This window comes from Homo sapiens, chromosome 20 (assembly GCF_000001405.40).
Source record: "Homo sapiens chromosome 20, GRCh38.p14 Primary Assembly".
NCBI classification, from domain to species: domain Eukaryota; kingdom Metazoa; phylum Chordata; class Mammalia; order Primates; family Hominidae; genus Homo; species Homo sapiens.
Genome location: NC_000020.11, coordinates 48,994,102 through 49,013,549, shown reverse-complemented (window position 1 = coordinate 49,013,549; position 19,448 = coordinate 48,994,102). Strand labels below are relative to the sequence as shown.

Here is a 19,448-nt window from a genome sequence, read left to right as displayed (position 1 = left end):
CACATCTCAGGTGTAAACTAAGCATGCAAAAGGAAGGAACTGAAAGGGAACTATATGCAGATTAAGGCCCCACACATTTTTCTCTCCCAAAAATCTCCATTCAGCAAGGGTACAGTGGGAACAGACTACACAAAGACATTATCTGTCCCAAAGGGCATATGAGCAGTTTCCCAGTACAAACCTATGGACCTCTGCGGGTTTTAGAACAAGTTGAAGGGGGGCAGATCACAAGAGTCCTGGGGGTGGGAGGTGTTATACTAAGAAGAGCTTAAAGGTCAAATAGTATTGACAAAATATCCAGGATGTATCATTATCTTAGGTCTTTCTGGAATGTTACTGTCATACACATTACTTAAAATAATACCAGCAGCTACTATTGACTGAGTGCTTGCTATGGGCCAGGCACTGTTAAAGTTCTTTTCATGGATTAACAATTCTCACAAGGATTCCAAGTGGCAGGTAGAAACAATGGTCCTAGGTTATAGATGAATTAACTGAGGCATCAAGAGCTTCAGTAAGCTGCTCAAGGTCATACAGCTAGGACCTGGCAGTCTTTCTACAGTCTGCATGTATAGCCCTACTCTCTGCCCTATTTCTGGGATTTTGACCCCTCTGCTCTGTAACCACTCTTGAAGTGGTACTGAAATTTCTTTAGCAACTCTGGTTATGTAATGTTAGGCAATTTCTCTCTGTGCTTCAGTAACTCTCCTGTACAATGGGATATAATTACATCTCATAGGTCTGACATGGGGACTAAATGAATCAACATACAGAAAATACCTAGAATGGTGCCCAACAAGTACTAAGTGCTCAATCAACATTGGCTCCCATTATCATCACATCTTAGTGAGCTGTTGTAAGAGATGAGACATATCACCTTACAGGTTTATAGCTCTTTCTGTAAAGGAAACTTAAGTAGAGATCTACACAGGACATCATAGTTTAGATGGACTTGTTTTCACCCTATTTCAGTGTTTTGGGACTCTGTCATTTAAACCAAATAGGCCTCTTTAGAAAGATGAGACACATCAAAAAAACAAACAAACAAACAAAAACCCCATCATTTTCAGGAGAAAACAAAAGGTGATTTTTAAATATGATTTCTCAGGCACATTACAAAGACATAATGCCATTTCCTACAAGGGAGGTTTGTTTTCTTTCAAATAGAAACGTCTAGCTTCTTGAGCTTTGCCAAAATACAAAAGCTAAAATACAACTAACTTCTACAAAAACAATTTGTAGAATACCATAGATTCAGTATGAATAAAATACAGAATTTCACATATACCAAATAATGAAAAGGCCTAACTCCCTGTCATGGCAGCATTTTGAAATAAACACCTAATTTAGGGCAAACACACATTTCTAAAAGAGTAGCTGGAAAGCTCTTTGTTAGGAGCAAGAATTTCTGCTCCATGACCTTTTCCCTTCACTGCCCATCTGAGTAAGGTGGGGAAAAACGAACCCGAGGCCTCTCAGAGACGTATTTGCCACAGAAGCGGATGAGCCGAATCGCTTCCATGCTCGTGTCAGGGAAAGCGGCGTTGCAGGCGAACTCTGATAAGCACTTCACAGCATCCTGAAAGGAATCGATGGCTGCAGGAAAATGGTGCTGGAAAATAGTTGCTGGGGGAACACAAGGCACATTTTTCATAAGACCAGGATTTAGAAATGGGGATGAAAAAATGCACGTGCGTGCACACACACACACACACACATACATCAGAGATAATTAACTGTGAAAATCTAAGAAAAGCATGTCAGTATCTTTGGAAGACAGTTTTTCTTATTAAATTACTCAGGAATGAATGCACTGGGTACAGCTTGGGCTAGACAGTCTTCCTGCGCTCAAGCAATGATGTAAAGGCCCAAATATCAATTCATTCATTTATTGAACGCCAACTATGTGCAAAGATAACTCGATGCCTAAAAATTTCCATAGAGATGAAGTAAACATCTTGTTACGTGCTCGCAGGCAGAACCCAGGACTCCTGGTCAGTCCAGAGGAGGGGGACACTAAACTAACTCTGGGCTCGACTGCCCGAGTGCAAGTCCTGGTTCCACTACATCGAAACTGTGTGTCCTCAGGCAAGTTGTTGTATTTATTTTTCTGTGCCTCAATTTCCTCTTTAGTAACATGGGGGAAATAATGAGATAGTCTGTTCTCATTATTCCTGATAGTTACATTCTATAAAGTTGCCATAAACACTGAATTCAAGAATACTGAACCATGGCTCTTAGGGAAAATATGGAGATAAGGAACTAGATTCCTGCAAGTCTCTGGTCAGAACATTTTCATCAGCTGATCAAGACATAACCTTGTTGTATGTGTGTTCCTGTTGAAAAGACACCTTATTTAATACATATTGTTGATTCATTAACACCGAACTCACAGCCAATATAGCACTGTAACTCATGCCTGAAGGAAGCTCATCTAACACACATATTTTTTCCATAAGACACATCACAGCCTTTCTGCACGTAGAATACTACCCAGCATTCAGCACTATGCTTGGGGGGGCATTTTAAACAGTGAAATCACCAACAAAAAGCACGAAAATGTAAAAAAACATGGCACTCGATAGGCCACATTAAGCACACTTGTTTATGTCATGACAGCTCAAACAAGAAGGCAGGGTGCCACCTTCTTCCACCACAACTGGGAACGTGCGCCTTGGGTGACTCAAGTTTTTGCTCTTCTGTGCATGCACATGTTGGCAAATGACCACAAAAGCACCATGAGTACTGGTTGTGGAGTTATTAATGTATATACATTTTAGTGAGTATACACACGGAATCCACCAATAATGAGGATTGACTGTAATTCTTTCATAGTCATTAGAGTGGCCTTGGGATTGATTTGACTTTCAAATTTCATCTGGCTTGAAATAACATTCACGTTTATCTGCTGGACCCCAACTGACTGATAACAGGAAAGGCCATTTAGAGAAGGCAAGGAGAAAGTCAAAACAGAGTTAAGATCAAGATTAATACTCATCAAGCGCTTACAACACGGCCTGGCACATTACTATATCACAGTAGAGCCAAGGTAGGGAAGCCCCTGTAGGTAGTAAAATAGACAGCAAGTGACACTCTTCTAGACTTGCAGGTGGGACATTAGTAGGGAGGGAACAGAGCCACTTACTGACAATGTGGCAAGTGGTCTGGAAGGCCAGCTCCACAATGTTCCCATCATGATCAGAGGCTGCCTGGTGGAACACGGCAAAGATGTTCTTCCAACCTGAGCGGATGTTGGCCGCCTGGGAGTTCACCATCTGGGCAATGCAGCGGATCGCCATGTCCCGGATGGTGGGAGACCTGAGGAAAGAATGGGACGGCCATATCGTCTGTACTTTGGAGAATGGGAAGAGAAATGAACATAGCTCATCCCTTAGAAGCAGCACTTAAACATTTCTTATAGCACACAGCAATCCACATTTGGGCTCTGCCCCGTTTCCTCTCACTTCCATTCCAAACCTAGCATGCTGCATAGAGCTACAACCACCATCCTGCAATCACGAAACAATAAACTCAAGGTTGAGAAGCTGACCCTCTGAATGGAAGAACAAAAGGAAAAAGCCTGGGTCTCAAATAAATGGTCCCTATCCAGGCCATGGAACCAAAGTTGAATGCTTGCCTCTGACTTCTTTCTTGTTACGAAAACAATAAATAGCCTTGTGGTTTAAGTCACTGCTGGTCAGTTTTTCTGGCCAAAAACATTTCAAATAATATAATTCTGCCACCTAGAGATAATCATTACTAAATTCTTGTGTGTATCTTCTTAAGATTTTTGGGTAGGGATATACCTATGTGATAAACACATATATGTGGATTGGAGTATACATATATAGTTTAAGGTGCAATGTTTACCTAAATTATTATAAAGTAAAACCTGAAGACAGAGAAAATGGCTGATTTTCTGGAACAGCTGCAATTGTCTCTCAACCTGTTAAGACATACAATTATGGAGGAACCTTATTATCTCACAAATAGCAAGAAGGAAAGCTATATAAGCCTACTGCTTCGATAGTACTATCTTTAAAAGTCAGTACAGTGGCCTTGGGACTACAGGTTTGACTTTCAATTTTTTTTTTTTTTTTGAAACAAGGTCTTGCTCTGTTGCCCAGGCTGGAATGCAGTAGAGCGACCTCGACTCATTGCAACCTCTGCCTCCCAGGCTCATGACTTTCAAATTTTATCTGGCTTAGAATGACATTCATGTTTGTCTTCCAGGCTCACACTAACCAATAACAGGAAAGGCCATTTAGAGAAGGCAAGGAGAAAGTCAAAACAGTTAAAAATTAGCTGAAAGTTCACAAAGTAAACATGTCACCTGCAGATAACAAAGGACTGACTACACAACATAAGTAACTTCCAATATATAATAAAAATGAATTCATGGTTGTCTCCCCATGGAGAATAAAGCAACTTGTTGACAAAACTATATTTATTATAATGTTTTTTTGCCTGATTGTTAAAAGAAAGATATGATGATAGTAAAAGTTTTGGAAAATACAGAAAAAGTATGATAAAAAAAAATTTACCTGTGCATGGTGGTTCACACCTGTAATCCCAGCACTTCGGGAGGCCGAAGCAGGTGGATCACTTGAGGTCAGGAGTTCAAGACCAGCCTGGCCAACACGGTGAAACCCCGTCTCTACTAAAAATACAAAAATTAGCTGGACATAGTGATGCACGCCTGTGATTCCAGGTACTTGGGAGGCTGAGGGAGGAAAATAGTTTGAACCTGGGAGGCAGAGATTGTAGTGAGCCGAGATTGCACCACTGTACTCCAGCCTGGGCGACAGGGCAAGACATCTCAAAAAAAAAAAAAAAAAAAAACCTTTACATGATATATGGTATTTCATATGGAGAGATACACGTTTCACTATCTCTATTATATTGTCTGTCCAATTCTATAACCTGTCCATTTCTCTAAAGTATTAGTCATTTCCCACATTATAAACATTGTGAACTTTTTTTTTTTTGAGATGGAGTTTCTCTCGTCATTCAGGCTGGAGTGCAGTGGTGCGATCTTGGCTCACTGCAACCTCCACCTCCCAGGTTCAAGTGATTCTCCTACCTCAGCCTCCTGAGTAGCTGGGACTACAGGCATACACCACCACACCCGGCTAATTTTTGTATTTTTAGTAGAGACGGGGTTTCAGCATGTTGGCCAGGCTGGTCTCGAATTCCTGACTTCAGGTGATCCGCCTGCCTCGACCTCCCAAAGTGCTGGGATTACAGGTGTGAGCCACCACACCCGGCCAAACATTGTGAACATTTTTAACAGCAAAACAATATCCCATGTTGTACCGGTACCAACATTTACTTTAACACTTGTTTATTTAGATAGTTTGTTTTTTTCTAGAAAACTATTTTCTGTGACATATAACGCTTTACTATATTTCACATTAACTGCTTTGGAGAATTACAGAAGTGTGGAATTACTGAGTCAAAGGGGCATAAAAATATCAGGATTCTTGACACTTATCACCAAAATGCTTTTAGAAATGTTACAGTTAAGTTACAGTTCCACCAACAGTATCTGAGAGTGCCTGGCAACATGTGATTCTAAACTCACTCTGCCCCTTTTCAAATGGGAATAGGATAGGCAGGGAAGGCCTGGAGTTAGGAGTTGAGGGCTTCCGTGCAATTAGGCTTGCACACGTGGCTTGGCCATGTGAGGACTCAGTCTCCTCAGGCACTCTCAATGGTGTTCCTAAAGGTAGGAAAATACTTTTGTGTATTTGCTAAAGTAAAGGGTGATGCCAGACTCTGGGTTTAATTTTGGTTCTCTTAAAATGAGCAATAAAGCAGACATACAGACACTAGGAGAAAGAGAGACATGTCAAGGAAACTTTTCTGGTACCCTTTTATTCACTACCCTAACAGCCTGCTCTGGCATCCAGCTTGGGAGCTCCCATTTTCTTAAAAAAAAAAAAAAAAAAAAAAAAGCAACACCAGGTGTGGCGGCTCACGCCTGTAATCCCAGCACTTTGGGAGGCCAAGGCAGGTGGATCACTTGAGGTCAGGGGTTTGAGACCAGCCTGACCAGCATGGTGAAACCCCATCTCTACCAAAAATACAAAATTAGCTGGGCATGGTGGTGCATGCCTGTAATCCCAGCTACTTGGGAGGCTGAGGCAGGAGAATTGTTTGAACCAAAGAGGCAAAGGTTGCAGTAAGCTGAGATCATACCATTACACTCCAGCCTCGGCAAAAAGAGCAAAACTCCGTCTCAAAAAAAAAAAAAAAAGATCCAGGCTGATCTGAAGTACACTTTTTAGGGGAATAGCAGACAAGAGGAATTAGGTCCAAAAGTCATCCTTGACATCTCTTCCTTTATGCTCCATGGCCAATTCATCAGCACATGGTGTAAGATTCCCTTTCCAAATGTGCACAGAATCTAATCCATCACTGCCACTGCTCCCACCTTGGTCCAAACCTGGACAACTACAATGGCCTCCTACCTCATCCTAATGGTCCTCATTTTCCATGGATAAATGCAGGGTGATCCTTTAAAATGTCAGATCATTTCACTTCTCTGCTTAAAATCCTCCAATGGCAGGCCGGCCACGGTAGCTCGTGCCTGTAATCCCAGCACTTTGGGAGGCCCAGGTGGGCGGATCATGAGGTCAGGAGAGACTCCGTCAAAAAAAAAAACAAAAACCTCCAACGGCTTCCATCTTTCACAGAGAGCAAACCAAAGTGCTGACAATGGCCGACAGCTCCTATGTGAGCTAGGCACCCTGCCACCACTGGGAGGGACTTCACCTTCTACTACCTGCCTTGTTCCCTCCATTCAAGCCACACTGGCCTCCCCACCTATGCCAAGCACTACCTGCTACGGGCCTTTTGCTTTTGCTCTTCCCTGTTCATAATTCTCATGCCAAGGCAGCATATGGCCACTCTCAGATTATTCCTGACTTCCTTCAGGCCTTTTCCTAAGGGTGCCCTTACCAAACACATGTTAGCTGGCTGCCCTGGATAAAAGAGTGCTTCCATCCCTATCCCCTTACCTTGATATATATAATGTCCTTCAGAGCCCATTACCACCACTGATATTTATTTGTTTTTCTATTGGAATTAAACAGAGATTTGTTTTTAAATTTTATTATGGAAAGTTTAAAACACAGAGAAAAGTAGAGTAATATATAATGAACTCCTGTATGCCCATCACACCCAGGTGCAACTATTTAAGGCTGAATGAAAACAGGGATTTTATTTTATTTCATTTTTATTTATTTTTTTTGAGACAGCATTTCGCTCTTGTTGCCCAGGCTGGAGTGCAATGGTGTGATCTTGGCTCACTATAACCTCCACCTCCCGGGTTCAAGCGATTCTCCTGCCTCAGTCTCCTGAGTAGCTGGGATTACAGGCGCCCACCACCACGCCCGGCTAACTTTTGTAGTTTTAGTAGAGACGGGGTTTCACCATGTTGGCCAGGCTGGTCTTGAACTCCTGCTCAGGTGATCCACCTGACTCGGCCTCCCAAAGTGTTGGGATTACAGGCATGAGCCACCGCGCCCGGCCAAACACAGGATTTTAAAATGTCTTCTTTATAGTACCTAGCAGATGGCAAGTCTCAATAAGTCCAGGCCGAGTGAATAAATGAACAGTACGGCTGCTTCACAGGGCCCGGTATCCTGACCTCTTTTATGACCTCCCTGGGGGAGAAGTGATGGGTCACATAATTCTTATCCTGGTTTGAGGATGCTTCTGCAGTGGCTCTTCCTTTAATCTCCCTGAGAACCAGCCCCAAAAGGGGTTCATGACATATTTCTTTTCTTTTTTTTTTTTTTTTTTTTTGAGACGGAGTCTTGCTCTTTCACCCAGGCTGGAGTGCAGTGGCGCAATCTTGGCTCACTGCAAGCTCTGCCTCCTGAGTTCACGCCATTCTCCTGCCTCAGCCTCCCAAGTAGCTGGACCTATAGGCGCCCGCCACCATGCCCGGCTAATTTTTTGTATTTTTAGTAAAGACGGGGTTTCACCGTGTTAGCCAGGATGGTCTCGATCTCCTGACCTCGTGATCCACCCGCCTCGGCCTCCTAAAGTGTTGGGATTACAGGTGTGAGCCACTGTGCCCAGCCGGTTCACGACATATTTCTACAAGTTGCAGGGTGACATCTGTCCTCCTAGGAAAGGCTACACATAGATTTTAGTGAGATTTGTTTAAGGAAAATCGATGTGAATCACAGTCTATTCATTCTATTTGTTTCCACTGACAAGGGAGGAAAAAAATTAATCATGTGGTTAGTGTTAGGAGGGCTTCTGGGAGCCCCAACGGGGAATTTGACCAAGCGTCTTCCAGAGCAAAACACATACCTGTTTTTCTTCATAATATGCTCAAAGGGCCTCAGAAAATCTTTCTGGAAACGGAAGTTGGCTAATTCACCCTTCTCAAGAAACTTCATGGAGAGTTGCCTTAATGAGTCAACAGCAAAGATAGCCACATCTTCATTAGGGTTGCAGCCAACCTGAACAAGAACAGGAACTGATGTGAAACAGGTATAGTGTAATAATGACCGACGTGGGTCTCTCAACAGCAAAGATGGACAGCCTACCTTCAAAACAAACATTCAGGGAAAACACACCTAAGGAGAAAAGAAAATGCTATTTCTTGGCTATGATCTGTCCAGTTTTATTTTAAGTGTAATGACGAAATCAGTATTGCATAGTTAATTAAATATGCATTTAAAATGTGCTACTTTCTGCTTTTTTAAATTTCATTTTATTATTATTATTATTATTTTCTAAGATGGAGTCTGGCTCTGTCGCCCAGACTGGAGTGCAGTGGTGTGATCTCGGCTCACTGCAACCTCCATCTCCCCGGTTCAAGCAATTCTCCTGCCTCAACCTCCCAAGTAGCTGGGATTACAGGTGCCTGCCGGCTGATTTTTGTATTTTTAGTAGAGATGGGGTTTCACCATGTTGGCCAAGCTGGTCTCGAACTCCTGACCTCAGGTGATCCACCTGCCTTGGCCTCCCAAAGTGCTGGAATTACAGGGTGAGCCACCGCGCCCAACCTATTTTTTTCTTTTCTTTTTTTTTTCTTTTGCTATTAAACTTGCAACTATACCCAATTTTTCTAATTGTAAAATATACATAACATAAAATCTACCATCTTAACCATTTTAAGTGAACAGTTCAGTAGTATACATTCATACTATTGTGAAGCCAATCAGAACTCTTTTCTTTTCTTGTTTCTTTTAAGATAAAGTCTAACTCTGTTGCCCAGGCTGGCAACCTCCACCTCCTGGGTTTAAGCGATTCTCCTGCCTCAGCCTCCCGAGTAGCTGGGATTACAGGCGCCTGCCACCCCGTCCAGCTACTTTTTTTTGTATTTTTAGAAGAGACAGGGTTTCACCATGTTGGCCAGGCTGGTCTCGAACTCCTGAACTCAAGTGATCAGGCCGCCTCAATCAAAATGCTGCGATTACAGGAGTAAGCCACCACGCCCGGCAGAGAACTCTTTTCATCTTGAAAAAATGAAACTCTATATCCATTAAACAACATCTCCCAAGGTGCTATTTAATTTTCTCCAAATATATATATATGAAGGGTCAAAAGCCTTTACAGTCTATGGAAAGCCTTTTCACACTTTCCCAATGTCTGTCATCTAAAGCAAATGACTATAAAATAAATATCATCAATCTCCAAAACTTCTGCAAAATTATTGAGGCTTTTCAATTTCCTTAAAAATTGTACTTGTCTATGGTTTGCCTACTTTTAGGAACTGGAGTTATGGGTAAATATTTGGCTGGTGCTTTTCAGACTTTTCTCTCAAGGAGAATCTCTAAAAACAGCAAGAGAATGTTTCCCACCCACACCCCCTGCCAGGAGATCTGGGGATATCTTGCAGAGGCCTGCTCCAAGTGAGCCATTTCATTGATATGTGGTCTGACCTGATGTTTTATTTTATTTTATTTTATTTTATTTTTTGAGACGGAGTCTTGCTCTGTTGCTCAGGCTGGAGTGCAATGGTGTGGTCTCAGCTCACTGCAATCTCCACCTCCCCAGTTCAAGCAATTCTCCTGCCTCAACCTCCTGAGTAGCTAGGATTACAGGTGCCCGCCACCAAGATCGGCTAATTTTTGTATTTTTAGTAGAGACGGGGTTTCACCACGTTGGCCAGGCTGGTCTCAAACTCCTGACTTCAGGTGATCCAACCGCCTCAGCCTCCCAAAGTGCTGGGATTACAGGCATGAGCCACCGTGCCCGGCCAATGTTTTATTTTTAATAGAATGCAGCAATATCATTTGTAATAATGAAAAATTGGGGCTGGGTGTGGTGGCTCACACTTGTAATCCCAGCACTTTGGGAGGCTCAGGCGGGAGGATCACCTGAGGCCAGGAGTTCAAGACCAACCTGGCCAACATGGTGAAACCCTGTCTCTACTAAAAATACAAAAATTAGCTGTGCGTGGTTGCATATGCCTGTAGTCCCAGCTACTGGGGAGGCTGAGGCAGGAGAATTGCCTGAACCTGGGAGGTAGAGGTTGTAGTGAGCCAAAATGGTGCCACTGCACTCCAGCCTGGGTGACAGAGCAAGATCCGTCTCTAAAAAAAAAAAAAAAAAAAAAGTTAAAAAAATAAAAATTGGGCCAAGCGTGGTGGCTCACGCCTGTAATCCCAGCACTTTGGGAGGCTGAGGCGGGTGGATCATCTGAGGTCTGGTATTCAAGACCAGCCTGGCCAATGTGGTGAAACTGTGTCTCTACTAAAAATACAAAAAATTAGCCAGGCATGGTGGTGGGTGCCTATAATCCCAGCTACTTGGGAGGGCTGAGGCAGGAGAATTGCTTGTACTTGGGAGGCTGAGGCAAGAGAATTGCTTGAACCTGGCAGGCAGAGGTTGCAGTGAGCCGACATTTTGCCACTTCACTCCAGCCTGGGCAATAAGAGCAAAATGCTATCTCAAAAATAAATAAATAAATAATAAAGTCAGCCTTGAAAAGGATGGAAATTCTGATACACGCTACAACACAGATGAACCTTGAAGACATTACTATGCTGAATGAAATAAGGCAGTCACAAAAGGACAAACACAGCATGATTCTACTTATATGAGGTACCCATAGTAGTCAAGTTCCTAGGGGCACAGAGTAGAATGGTGGTTGCCTGTGGTCAGGAGGGTGAAAGTGGGAGTTACTGTTTAATGGGTATGCAGTTTTAGTTTTGCAAGATGAAAAGGGTCCTTGAGATCTGTTGCCCAACAATGTGAGTGTACCTAACACTACTGAACCGCACACTTAAAATTGTTAAGATGGTTATTCTATTTTTTTAATCTTATTTTATTTATTTTATTTTTGAGACAGAGCTTTGCTCGTCACCCAGACTGGTGTGCAATGGCACGATCTCTGCTCACTGCAACCTCCACCCCCCGGGTTCGAGATAGTCTCCTGCCTCAGCCTCCCGTGTAGCTGGGATTACAGGCGTCCACTACCGCGCCCTGCTAATTTTTGTATTTGGCTAATTTTGTATTTGTTGGCCAGGTTAGTCTCGAACTCCTGACCTCAGATGATCTGCCTGCCTCAGCTTCCCAAACTGCTGGGATTCAGGAGTGAGCTACTGTGCCCGGCCTGTTATGTGTATTTTATTACAATTTCTTAAAAGAGAACAAATCTACATATGCTAACATGGTTAAATCTTTATGATTCCTTGCTAAGTGGAAGAAACAAGTTACAAAATGCTATGTATAATTTTTTTAAAAAGCGAAACAAACCAAGACAATATTATCTGTAATATTTCTATGAGTACATACATATGCACATGAATACAAAAATGTCTGGAAAGATATACAACAAACTAGTAAGAATAATTAGCTTTGGGGAGGGCCAGATGTGTGGGGGAGGGTGGCCAAAGATGTTTTAGCTGTAATTTTTGTGTAAAGGGGAGTATGTTAATGTAATTAGAGACTAACAAAAAGAATATTCCTTTCTTAAATATCCAGGTAAAACAGATGCTCCAGGCATACACACCATGCTTAGTGTGAAGCTTTGCTCATCCAGGACACAGGGCTGGTGCCCCTAGTTCAAGAGAATCATGTGACTGTGCGAACAACTCTGCCAGCAACCTGAGGGCTAAGTTACAGCTGGATTGAGCCATATCTATTTCTTCAAATCTGCAAGATTCTTAAGTGCCCCAGTTCACAATGGGAAGAACATCTTTCCAAGGTGGTGGAAAAAGTTAAGAGTCCCAGAGTGAGGGCCGGGCACGGTGGTTCATGCCTGTAATCGCAACACTTTCGGAGGCTGAGGCGAGCAGATCACCCGAGGTCAGGAGTTCCAGACCAGCCTGGCCAACATGGTGAAACCCTGTCTTTACTGAAAATACAAAAATTAGCTAGGTGTGGTGATGCATGTGTGTAGTCCCAGGAGAATAGCTTGAACCTGGAAGGCAGAGGTTGCAATGAGAGGAGATCAAGCTACTGCCGTCCAGCCTGGCAACAGTGCGAAACTCTGTCTCAAAAAAAAAAAAAAAAAAAAAAAAAGAGTTCCTGAGTTTTCCATGACCTGGTGCTTAAACAGCACTGATTAAATAAACAGACATTTGTAATGAAGTTGATGACAATTAAATGTCTGGTTCCCACCTGCCACCCTATGTCCCAACCTTGCCTGTAAGTGGTCCATACATACTGAGAATTGGCACACACAGATTCTTCACAACAGAATCACAGGTGGGAAGAGTAACTTGAGCAAACTGATGTTCCCCTCCCAAAACAGAAGTCCCAATGAACACAAAATGCAGACTTTAAAGAGTTGGGAAAACGTTTACCAAAACACTTTTAGCTAGTCATTTCTGAGAGAACAAAGGATTCCACAGTTGCTAGCCAAATGATCTTGTGGAATAAATGAGCAGCGTTTGTTCTGGCTTAGCTGTCACATGTTTGGACAAGAATACAAGGTACAGTAGTCGCAATGATTCACATTTTCTTTCTCAAGCAAATTCACATCAATTATTTCAATTGGTCCAATTAGGAATTTGTTTACTCAGAATAGTGGGTAAGATGGTGCTGAGTTAGTTGATTATTTAAAGTGATACCATCCACTCAACAAATAGTTCCCCTGGATCATCCACAGGCTCCTGTGCCTCTCAAGGCCACCTCCAAAGAGGGACCTTCCCTGACCATGTTTTCTCAATAACCCTGATATATGACATGCTTGATCCTTTCCCATCAGTTATCTTATCATAAAATGACAGGGAGCTCCATGCAGGCAGGGGTCTCATCTGTCCACTGCCCAGCATGAAGCACTCAGATTATTTTGTAAAACAGACAGTGTGCTGTGAGGTGCCTTAATTTGAGCTGATGGAAAAACAAGGAACTTTCATTAGCTGATGCACCAAGTTAGAAGCAAGCCTACATATGACAATGCTTCATTTCAGGGGAGTGGTGGAGTAGACTAGCACCTGTCCACAAGAGGTAATGAGGTGCCCATCTCTTCCCTAGTTACATCATATTGCTAACTTTAAATTGGCTGTGGCAGGGTGTTTACACACAGAAACTGGCAGATGCTACAAATCATTTACCAGCACCCCATTGATTATTCTATACCCCAATGGTAGACTACTTTTTAAGATTTTCCTCTATTCAATGTACAGAATTTCTGGATTGTTTTTTTACTAACACTATTTTTAAGCATTGGTATTATAACTCTTCACCACCAGGTTTGAGAAAATTTTCTTGAGATCATGAAATGTGTTTTGGTAGGAAGCTGTTATTATTACCTTTCCCTTAAGAGGCAAATGACATCACAGATACATACATACATACATTTCTTTTTTTTTTTTTTTTTTTTTTAAGACGGAGTCTCGCTCTGTCGCCCAGGCTGGAGGGCAGTGGCACGATCTCAGCTCACTGCAAGCTCTGCCTCCCGGGTTCACGCCATTCTTCTGCCTCAGCCTCCTGAGTAGCTGGGACTACAGGCGCTCGCCACCACGCCGGGCTAAACTTTTGTATTTTTAGTAGAGATGGGGTTTCACCATGTTAGCCAGGACGGTCTCGATCTCCTGACCTGTGATCCACCTGCCTCAGCCTCCCAAAGTGCTGGGATTACAGGCGTGAGCCATGACGCCCGGCCACATACATTTCTTTTGATTGCTTTGTTCCCAGTTTTTTGGCCGTGATAAAACACATATCTGACATTTTATTTATTCAACATGTGTGCATATGTCTGTATGTATATAATAAAACTTCTGGTAACGAGGAAGAAGTTCAGTCTGGTTTATTCCCAACAGTTGTCAGTTTTAGAACCCAGATGGGTCTTTGGCTTGTTACTGATTTAAAAACAATTATTAATTTTTTTTTCTGAGACGAAGTCTTGCTCCGTTACCCAGGCTGGGGTGCAGTGGTGCGATCTCGACTCACTGCAACCTCCACCTCCCAGGTTCAAGCAATTCTCCTGCCTCAATCTCCCTAGTAGCTGGGATTACAGGTGCACACCACCACGCCCAGCTAATTTTTTTGCATTTTTAATGGTGACGGGGTTTCACTATGTTGGCCAGGCTGGTCTCAAACTCCTGACCTTGTGATCTGCCCATCTTGGCCTCTCGAAGTGCTGGGATTACAGGCGTGAGCCACTACGCCCGGCCCAAATATTAATTTTTTCAATAAAAGTTTCAGAAGAATGGTGGCAATAGGTGCCGGAATACAAGAAGCAGTGACATTGAAGAGTAAAACTACCTGGAACGTAACTTAACATTAGGTCATTTAAAAGGCCTTTCTGGATTTCATTTCACAATGCTTCCAAGCATCAGTGTATTTGTCTAGTGGCTGTAATAATCTTTGTGGTCTTAGCCTACATCCTGCATGTGGGATATTAAAGTATTTTCAATACCACTGGATTTTTAATTCATTCTACATGAATGCTACCAATATATAAGTATGATATTACTCCTATCAAGCTGTCCTTGACTGCACAGGGAAAATGAATTAGAGGCATCTAAAAAACAGGGCAAATTATTTATCACTTCTTTTTTTGAATTCAGTTGTCTACTTTTTTTTTTTTTTAACAGGAATGGTTTTTAAATTTGAAGAGTTACCTTATTGAAGTGATCTCCAATCACATGCCATATTCGAGACCACTGTAGTCGGATCCGATTCATGTTGTAGTATGATATCTCCACAATCTTCTGCAAGCTGAACATGCGAGGATGGTGGGGGGAAGCCAGTTCATCCATGGACACAGCACACAGCCAGCGGACAAAGTCAACTACAGGCCAGACCCAACAACACAAGCAAAGCCTCGTTAGGAACAGTCAGACGGTCACAGCGTGAGGCTTCTGCAGTTTTCACAGGTAAGTCAAATACATACCTATTGCATTTCCATCCAGTCTGGTAGACCCAGTAAAAATCCTAGGAAGATAATTCCAGACAAAATAAACATTAGACCGGGTGTGGTGGCTCACACCTGTAATCTCAGCACTTTGGGAGGCCGAGGAGGGTGTATCACTTGAGGTCAGGAGTTCAAAACCAGCCTGGCCAACATGGTGAAACCTTGTCTCTAATAAAAAATACAAAAAATTAGCTGGGCGTGGTGGCGGGCACCTGTAATCCCAGCTACTTGGGAGGCTGAAGCAGAAGATTCGCTTGAACTCGGGAGGCAGAAGTTGCAGTAAGCCGAGATTGCGCCACTGCACTCCAGCCTGGGCAACACAGACAGACTCTGTCTCAAAAAAACAAAAAATAAACATTAGATTTGGTAGACTGAGGGCAATTCTGCTTCTGTCTTAGTACTGGGCATAAAAGCCAGATGATCTCTGGTCACACAGGTTTTTTCTTTTTAATTAGATTTGGAAGCTGAAGTTTCTCAAACTCTCAGACAAGGTAGAGAGGAAACATCAGGTCTGACACCTCCACCGAAATAAATGATGTGGTATTACAAGTATAGAACGGTTCAAGGAAAGTGAACTGAGTTGAAAGCAGAAAAACCTATAGTGAGCAGAAGAGAAAGTGACACATCAAAAGACGGGGGAGCCCAGGCGCAGTGGCTCATGCCTGCAATCCCAGCACTTTGAGAGGCCAAGGCAGGTGGATCACTTGAGGTCAAGAGTTCGAGACCAGCCTGTCCAATACGGTGAAACCCTGTCTCTACTAAAAATACAAAAATTAGCCAGGCATGGTGGTGCATGCCTGTAGTCCCAGCTACTTGGGCGGCTGAGGCAGCAGAATCACTTGAACCTGGGAGGCAGAGGTTGCAGTGAGCCAAGATCACATCACTGCACTCCAGACTGGGTGATAGAGCGAGACTGTCTCAATCAATCAATCAATCAATCAATCAATACATAAGATATAGTACAAGAAATGACCAGAAGTAAAATGATATACTAGAAAATATCTATTTAACACAAAGAAGGCAGAAGGCAGTAACAGTGGAAGAAGATGGGAACACAAAAGACACGACATTATATGCACTTAACAATAGAGGCAACATACATGAGTTGAAAAAGGATAGAATTAAAGGGAAAGATGTTAGTATAAGGAAACTACGTGGTTAATAAATAGAATATAATGAATATTAAAATAATAAAAAGGGAAAGATGGACAATGGAACAATGTCCAGAACAGGCAAATCTGTAGATCAGTGGTTACAGTGACTAAGGAATGGGGGAAGGAAAGAAAAGAAAACGGAGAGTGATTGCTAATAAGTACGAAGCTTCTTTATGGGAAATATCTCTCCTGGATTTTTAGGTCAAGTTTTGAGTAAAGAGAAATAATGGAAAAGTTTTGAGGGGAGAAAAAAAAAAAAGGAAACTGTCAACTCAGCCAACTCTCATTCATGGGTAGGCTTTTTTTTTTTTTTTTTTAGACGGAGTCTCGTTCTGTTGCTAGGCTGGAGTGCAATGGCGCGATCTCGGCCCACTACAACCTCTGCCTCCTGGGTTCAAGATATTCCCCTGCCTCAGCCTCCCGAGTAGCTGGGATTACTGGCATGCGTCACCATGCCCAGTTAATTTCTTTTTTTTTGTATTTTAGTAGAGACATGGTTTCACCATGTTGGCCAGGATGGTCTCGATTTCCTGACCTTGTGATCCACCTGCCTCCCAAAGTGCTGGGATTACAGGCATGAGCATGGGTAGGCGTTTTTTTTTTGCAGATGGAGTCTCACTCTGTCGCCTAGGCTAGAGTGCAGTGGCACCATCTCCGCTCACTGCAAGCTCTGCCTCCTGGGTTCACGCCATTCTCCTGCCTCAGCCTCCAGAGTAGCTGGGACTACAGGTGCCCACCACCACGCCTGACTAATTTTTTGTATTTTTTAGTAGAACGGGGTTTCACTGTGTTAGCCAAAATGGTCTCGATTTCCTGATCTAGTGATCTGCCTGCCTTGACCTCCCAAAGTGCTGGGATTACAGGCGTGAGCATGGGTAGGCTTTTAATCCTAAACTCTTCTTGTGATTTTTAAAAAAATAATTTCTACTAAGGAAACAAGGTAATTTAAAACATCAACATAAGCGAAAAACTCTTATTTTTGACATAATTTGTCACAATGTTAAAGTTATACCTTTTCTAAAAGGTCAAAATGCAAATAAATGTGACACTTAAGCAATTTGTAGCTAACAACACTTGTATCAGTTAAAGAAATTAGGAATCATTCATGTCCAGTAACTACAGAGAGGCCACCAAACCACTGTGTAGTTCAGGGTCACTGAAGAATAAAATCATTACCTGTCCACAGCTACAACCACACTCTGCGAGCTGGTCTCACCAACCGATTCTTGGAAGCTGGCCATCTGTCTTTTATCCACTCCGCCACTCACCAAATTACCTGAAACACAATGCACAAAATCAGCAGTACTTCAAAAACAGTCAAGTATTTAGAACAAAGCATCCTGTTATGTCAACACGCAGGGACAGGGGACATAAATGGGAATGACTCTGCAAGTTCAAAAAAGAAACAAAAACCCACTGATGATAAAATTAAAGTTTTGTTTTGGCATTGGGCATTTAAAATATATCCTTAGTATAAGCTTTCTTGTTTCTACCAACCATCTACCTTTCTCTATAATCTTTTACATTTTTATAGTATTAAAGGCCTATATTTAGGAAAACAAATTTGAATCAATTGATATTAATCCAGAGCTCCTAGAACATTAATGGCTCACACCTGCTGAATGCTTGGTGTGCTTCACAGACTTTCATTACACTCATCCTCACGAGAACCCTAAGAAGTGGGTGCTATTACAATTCCCCATTTTTCCAGAGTCCATACTTTTAACCATGACACTGTACTATTCCACTCACTAAATGGGACCTAGAAGCCTACACTCCGTAGTTGGATGGCTTAGGGCTTGAATCCTACCTCTGCCACTCCTTTGCAGTATGATGCTGCTCATATCTTTTCACTCCGTGCCTCAGTTTTCTCAATTGCAAAATGGGGAATATAACAGTCCCTGTTCTCATTGGATTGTTTTGAGCATTAAATGAGTTAAAATATATAAACTGAGTGCTCAGAATATGACTTGGCACATCTGTTTGCCCTATTTACTATTATTACCATGTTACATCAATCAGAAGAGTTTCTCAATCCAATGTATAGCCAGAGAAATAATTCTACTTGCATAAGAATACTGTTTAATAAAAGCCCCCCAATAAAGATGGAAGAAATGTTGAACCTACCCTTTAAAACCTAGAGACACAAATACACACCCCTCTAATGTCAGGCACTAGAGATCTGAACATTTTAAAGCAAATGGTTTTTCTCCCCAATATAGTGATAGGTATAGAAAGAAAAGTAATGCACCCTACTGACTTTGGTAAAATAGACATTTTACTCAACAGTTTAATCACAATTAAGAGGCCAAAGCAGCACGTCCACTTGCATTCATGAACACTGTCAGATGGCACAAAAGGAAGAGACGGTTTACAGGACAGTCCTGATGAGACAAGAAGGGTTTCATCCCCGTTAGCTTGCAAATCCGTGACTGTTAGCTGTGGGGCCTGGTGTCTTACCGAGGCCAAGGCCCATGAACTCTTCTCCTGCCAATGTGTGGCCCTTCAGGCTCCCTTCTCTTTCACGCCCAGATCCAGACAGGTAGCGCGTCTTCACACCGGTTCCTATCAGCTGAGCGAGCTCCAGCTGGCTGATGCATTTCAAGATCTAAGAGAAAGAAGGCATGAAGAAATGAGTTCCTACCTTACAGCTAGAAAAAGGGCACTGTAATCTTAAGTTAGTCATTAAAAAAAAGTTGGTTCAATGGAGTTATGCCATATAGATGTTTATGCAAATTTAGTAAGCTCTCAATAAAGAGAGAAAAAGCATTTGACTGGGGCGGCGGATTCCTCCCACCATGTCACTTAATAGGCACATCATTTAGTCACCCCCACCTCCTTTTTCCACCCTCCTCGTGAGACGACAAGACACCAGCCTCATTGGCCTCACTGTTGCTCCTTTAACTTGTCATCTCTTGTCCCACCTCAGGGCCTTGGCACTCACTGTTCCTTATGCC

General features: G+C 42.6%; 1 protein-coding gene across 3 annotated transcripts in view; it reads right to left on the bottom strand.

Moving 5' to 3' along the window:
• Positions 1–19,448, bottom strand: part of ARFGEF2 (ARF guanine nucleotide exchange factor 2) — a 114,983-nt gene that overhangs the window by 23,144 nt on the left and 72,391 nt on the right. For all 3 annotated transcript variants that reach the window (NM_006420.3, NM_001410846.1, XM_047439832.1), the window contains 7 exons: positions 18,952–19,099; positions 17,668–17,767; positions 15,317–15,357; positions 15,045–15,214; positions 8,329–8,480; positions 3,146–3,318; positions 1,466–1,626 (listed from right to left, as the gene is read on the bottom strand). In NM_006420.3, the coding sequence (NP_006411.2) occupies positions 1,466–1,626; positions 3,146–3,318; positions 8,329–8,480; positions 15,045–15,214; positions 15,317–15,357; positions 17,668–17,767; positions 18,952–19,099 (945 nt within the window). The remainder of the gene's footprint in view (positions 1–1,465; positions 1,627–3,145; positions 3,319–8,328; positions 8,481–15,044; positions 15,215–15,316; positions 15,358–17,667; positions 17,768–18,951; positions 19,100–19,448) is intronic.